General features: G+C 43.5%; 1 annotated feature.

The window, feature by feature from the left end:
- Positions 4,009-5,208: an enhancer, noted in NCBI's record as "P300/CBP strongly-dependent group 1 enhancer chr1:177883789-177884988 (GRCh37/hg19 assembly coordinates)". NCBI's record gives its function as "activates an origin of replication core promoter dependent on BRD2, BRD4, P300/CBP, MED14 and CDK7 cofactors, with strong dependence on P300/CBP, by STARR-seq in HCT116 cells {active_cell/tissue: HCT116}" and the evidence as "EXISTENCE:reporter gene assay evidence [ECO:0000049][PMID:35650434]".

The following is a 6,070-nucleotide window of genomic DNA, read 5'->3' as shown; positions in this document are numbered from 1 at the left end:
CTTGATAGTCAATAGGTACTTATTAAATGATGAATGAATGAATGAATGAGTAGATAGGTGAATGTATAAAAGTGTTCCCTCAGGAACTGTCCTCTGCAGGCACAGTCTGTCACTGTGGCTTGAAGGAACAAGATAGATATGTGGCATGGCTTTCCTTGAATTTGTATGAAAAGGTAAAATGGCAAATGGGATCTTATAAAATAAGGGCTGTAAGAGACCTCAGGAAGCATTCACCCCGGTGGTTTCCAAATGCAGGTATGCAGTTGGTGCCAGAACACTGCAAAATTTTCACCCGTCTGCAATGAGATGAAAAAAAAAATAGAGTGAGCTTTTCGTTAAGCCAAATGTATTATCTGTTAGAATTCTGAGATTAGGTCCTTTTACTCTATTTGGTGTTAAAGTTTCTTCTTTAAAAATAAAATGAGGTAATAGTAGATAATAGCTGCTGCTTTTCTTCTCTCTCAAGTCCCTTTATTTGGTAAAATAACAAATTCCTAATTTTTTTTACAGGTTCCTGAATCACTCACATTTTTTTGAGAGGGAGAGGAGAGGATGTTTCGTGGGTCTATAAAATCCCAAAGTCTGGAACCACTGACTTAATTCATCTCTGTCTTATCTGAAAAAAATTCACTGACATCCCCTGTTGGCCTTAAGTGAGACACTGGGCTCCTTAAAAGAAGTAGCACATTTCAGCAAATGATAAGATGCTTCAAGTCATACAAGTTCCTTTCTGCGTTGTCTCTTCAGAGCAGGGATCCAGGCTGGGTCACAGGCTTGTAGCAATGCCATAACTAAGACATAGGAGATTTCTTAAATCCAGGTCAGTCAATAACAGGGGCACAGAGGCCCGATTTACCAGTGTCTAATGTGCTCTCTTTTGCTGTGGATGTAGTCGCTGTTTTGTCTTTAGGTAGAACGTATATGTGTTCTGTGTAATACAGAGCACCTCTCTGAGAATGACAATTCTAGTTGATATAAACCATGGGAAAAAGAGAACTCCACGGGGACACACCTCCTCAATCACCTCTCCTTTCTCTGAATTGCTGCAGCTCTATTGTCTGTGCCATACAACGTAGCTGTTGGATTTTACATTGTTTTCTGTTTTCTGTTTATTAGTCACAAATCTTATCTCTCCTAAAGAATGGGAACAATCCACTTAAATCCTGTTATTAATTGATAAGCTTTTTCTTTTTTAACTCAATCTTCTCTGGAGGCCGTTGGCCCTTACTGGTCCTATGTATGTTGGAAAGATCTGAGGTTCTGCCGACCTGGTTTCCAGCCCTGACTCTGTGACTGATGGATGACAAGTTGATGAGTGAGGGCTGAATCTCATGGCACCTGGATGGCTGTTGCTCAGAGAGAAGAACGGTACTGACCTGCCTCACCAAGAGAAGTGGCAGATGCATTAACTGCCTAATGATGCTGATGTTCTTTGAGAATATAAACGTGAAACATGATCATTATGGTTTATAGTATTTGGATTAAATTTTTTTTTCCTCAAAGAGGAGACGAAGAAAGATTATTTAAGGAAATAGTGAATAGAGGGCCCCAGTTTGTTCTTAATTCATGATTGACTTTGATCAGAATGGCATAAGCAGTGGGAATGCAGTTTTAAAATCTGGAAGGTAATTATCTCTACTTCAGGGCATGAAGTCTTCTCTTTCTCCTCCTCCCACTGGGGAAAAAATAAAAAAAGAAAAAGCTAGGGAAGCAAATGCTCTTAAAAAATAAGATGATTTCTCTATGTCAGGTCTGAAAATAGTATTTCCTAAAGCTACTGCTGTATAAGAGGCCAAGCAAAGTGGAAGAGAACTGGCCCAGGGCTGGCCTCAGCCTCCAACATCTTGCTATGGAAGAAGCCAGAAGCAGGCGGGGCTGTGATGAATTTTTTTTTTTGTTTTTTTCACTTTTTTAAAAATTTTATTATTATTATACTTTAAGTTTTAGGGTACATGTGCACAATGTGCAGGTTAGTTACATATGTACACATGTGCCATGCTGGTGTGCTGCACCCATTAACTCGTCATTTAGCATTAGGTATATCTCCTAATGCTATCCCTCCCCCCTCCCCCCACCCCACAACAGTCCCCAGAGTGTGACGTTCCCCTTCCTGTGTCCATGTGTTCTCATTGTTCAATTCCCACCTATGAGTGAGAACATGCGGTGTTTGGTTTTTTGTCCTTGTGATAGTTTACTGAGAATGATGATTTCCAATTTCATCCATGTCCCTACAAAGGACATGAATTCATCATTTTTTATGGCTGCATAGTATGCTGTGATGAATTTTTATTAAAGCCCCTGTTTATTAAAAGTTGAGTGAAAGTCTTCCTAATATCTAATAGGCCTTTTCCAATGCTTTTCTACTTGTGATGGACATCATTGGTTCCCCAGCTGTATCAGTTTCCTATGGCTGCTGTAACAAATTGCCACACTTAGTGATTTCATGCAACATGCCTTTATCACCTTACAGTTCTGGAGGCCAGAAGTCTGAAATGAGGCCTGCAGGAGTAAGATCCAGGTGTCTGCAGTGCTGGTTCCTACTGGAGGCTCCAGGGGAGAAACTGTTCCCTGCTTCCTCCACCTTCTGGTGGCTCGTGGCCGCACCACTCCAATCGCCACTTCCTTCATCACATGGCCTTCTTCTCTTCCCTTTCAAATTTCCCTCTGTTTCCCTCTTTTAAGAAGGCTTTTGATTACATTGGCTGTGCCTGGATAATCCAGGTTTATCTCCCCATCTCAAGATCCTTGATTCAATCACATCTGTAAAGTCCTTTTGCCACATAAGGCAACATTTGTAGGCCCCAGGGAGGAGGAACTAGATGTCTCCCAGGCTGTTATTCATTCTGTCACAAACAGACAATAGCTCTTCTTCCCCTCTTCCTTCCTAACAGAACCCTAATTTGGCTCAGGCATCCTAAGACACTGGTTTCAGGGGACAGTGGTCCTTCCCAGCCCTTGTATAAATCTTGATTAAGCCAAGATTGTCACAGCTTTCCCATTCCCTTGCCAGGCACTGGTTAGGAATGGGCATGGGATTAAACTCTGCCAATGGTATGGAAGGAGAAATCTGCTCTGTGATTTCTGGAGAGCTCCCCTCACTCTTAAAGTGGTGCTGGGAAAGGAATGCTCTCTCTTAAATAGTCTCTGGATGATGGGGATTGCTAGTTGAGGATGTAATGCTTGAAGCCACCATAGCTGCCTTGTGACCATAAGGGGACAGGTCTGAGGACAAAACAAAAAATGCTGAGAATGTCTGAACAGAAAGATGGAAAAAACTGGGTCCACAGTGTTATCAGTGAGCTGCTAAATTAGCCGTCTCTGGAACCTTTCTCTCTATGCTTATTGGTGGACACAAAGAACTGCGTTAATGTTCTAGTCCCTTTGAGTTGGGTTTGCTGTGACTTGAAGCTACTAGACATGACCAGAGACCCACTATTTATTTATGCTTCCAATAACGTAAGTGTGTATATAAACATATGCAAGCCCCGGATCTGCCCTAGCTCTGGACTTCATCCATGACTGTCTTGAATCATTATAAGAACCTCTTTGGTGGTCTTTGATGGTGTCTCTGACTCTAGACATGCACCTTCTTGATCTAGACATTACAAAATAGCACTGTGTATACTTCTGTGCTTATTCACCATACATATTTATTGAGCACTTACTATGTGCCAGCCACCATGCTAGTCACAGAGATACATCTGTGAATACAACAGTCTTTGCTGTCATAGAGCTTACATTCTAGTGGAAGGAGATATGTGAAAAACAAAGTATAATACATCAGGTGGCAATAAATGTTACAAAGAAAAATACAGCAAGGTAAGGGGAAAAGAGTGATTGCTGTAGGAATTTGTTTTTCACATGTGAAGGTCAGGGAATGGTCTCTTTGACAAGGAGGTGATTGAGTAGAGCCCTGGCTGGAGTGACAGAGTGAGGTGTGCAGGTACCTGAGAGCAACGAGCCAGGCCAAGGGAGCAGCGCGTGTAAAGGCCCTGAGGCAGAGCATGCTTGGTGAATGAGTAAGAGCAAGGAGGCCAGCATGTGGGGGTGAGGCAGGAGGAGGGAGTGGTAGGAGAAGAGCTCAGAGAGGATGGTAGGGACAGGTCTTGTTGGACACAGAGGCCAAGGTAAGGACTTTGGCCATTACTCTGAGTTAGGGGAAGCCACTGAAGGGTTTTGAGCAGAGAAGTGACTGTGACATGATTTAACTTACATTTTTCAAGGATCACTCTGGCTTCTGAGTAGAGGTTAGACTCTGGGTGGCAGACAAGAAGCTCTTGTAATAACTCAGGCTGGGCAGGGTAACTCACACCTGTAATCCCAGCACTTTGGGAGGCCGAGGCGGGTGAATCACGAGGTCAGGAGTTCAAGACCAGCCTGGCCAACATGGTGAAATCCCATCTCTACTAAAAATACAAAAAATTAGCTGGGTGTGATTGTGGCCACCTGTAATCCCAGCTACTCAGAAGGCTGAGGCAGGAGAATCGCTTGAACTCAGGAGGCGGAGGCTGCAGTGAGCCAAGATCGCACCACTGCACTTCAGCCTGGGTGACAGAGCAAGACTCCATCTGAAAAACAAACAAACAAACAAACAAACATACATCAGGCAATAGATAATAGTGATTGGACCAAGGTGGTAACCATAGGGATGGTGGTAGAAAGTGGTTGGATTCAGCATATATTTTCAGGGTAAAGCTATTAGAATTTGCTGATGAATTGGCTATGGAGTGTGACAGAAAGAAAGGAATATAACCTGACTCCTAGGTTTCTGGCTCAAGCAGCAGAAAGGTGGGGAAGACTTCAAGAAGAGTAGATTTGGAGAGAAAAGGAAGAGTTTGGTTTGGACACATTAAGTTTGAGATATGTGTGACCACGACAAGTACAGGCATGCCAAGCCCATGAGCTGGATTTGCTAGTCCAGAGTTCAAGGGAGAGGTAGGGAAGTTTTCAGAAAATAAATACTCCAAACCTATAGTATCTGCTTACTTGTTAAAGGACAAAAGCCGAGTCATGTAACATGGAGCCTTTCCTGCACCCAGTGTGTCAACCATTGATATCCGTCTGAGTCGAAACTGCACACCCTTTCATGCGTCATAGTCTCTACTCACGTGTTCCCTTGACCTGGACTGCACTTCCCTTCCTTGCCATCAGAATCCGATTCATCCTTCAAGGCCTGTAAAACCTCTTCTAATGTTTTCACTGACATCCATCATGACCTCTTTTGTGTTCCCAGGGCACAGACTACCTTTTTTCTGACTACTTGTCAGAAATCTATGTCTCCACTAGATTGTATGCTCCTCGAAGGAAGGGAAGGACCATGGGTCGTTGATCTTTGTATCTTTAACATGGAGATGGACATGGGTGAGATCCTGAAAACCAGACTCCTCACTCAGTCCCAGTTCACCACTACTGGTTTTGAGGTGAAAATGCATGAAGACAAGGTCAGACAATTGCATGCTATTTATTACTACAGAGTATTGGCTAAAAGCCCCACATAGAACTCATAGCCTGGACGAGCTGGCTTCACCATGTATGTGTCACAGCATTCTCTTTGCATCCTGAGGAGTTCAAGAACTGGACTAAAATCTGGCTTCCTTTGTCTTTTTGTCTGAGGCCCATCCTCAGGTTTTGATCACTCTGGTGGTAGGAAGGATGAGGACAGCTGAATCTAATGGGGAGATGGTCTAGGGAAGTATAGACTAGAGCACAGCTGGCCTAAATTATAACCCTGAGGCATTGGGATGTGGGGGTTGGTAGGGAGCTGAAGGCTTAATTTACCACACTAACCAAATATGAGGACATGATCTGGAAAGGAAGGCAGTGACTAAACAAGGCAGGCAGAGAGCAGATCAAGGATGCAAGAAGATTTAACTTCTTGCTCATTGCACAGAACATCCCACCCAGCATTATGGCCAGTGGGTCCCCAAGCACCTTCTCCTTGGGGGTGAGCTGCAACGAGGAGAGCCCTGACTCCTGCCACCAGATGGAGCTGGCCCTGCATCTAGTCCTGATTTTCACCTAGCACGTGCTGAATAAGGCTTCATTTAACTTACTGAATTGGATAAATACT

The sequence above is a fragment of the Homo sapiens genome, chromosome 1 (assembly GCF_000001405.40).
Source record: "Homo sapiens chromosome 1, GRCh38.p14 Primary Assembly".
Taxonomy (NCBI): domain Eukaryota; kingdom Metazoa; phylum Chordata; class Mammalia; order Primates; family Hominidae; genus Homo; species Homo sapiens.
Note: the sequence above shows the minus strand (reverse complement) of the source record. Positions and strands in the feature narration are given on the sequence as shown.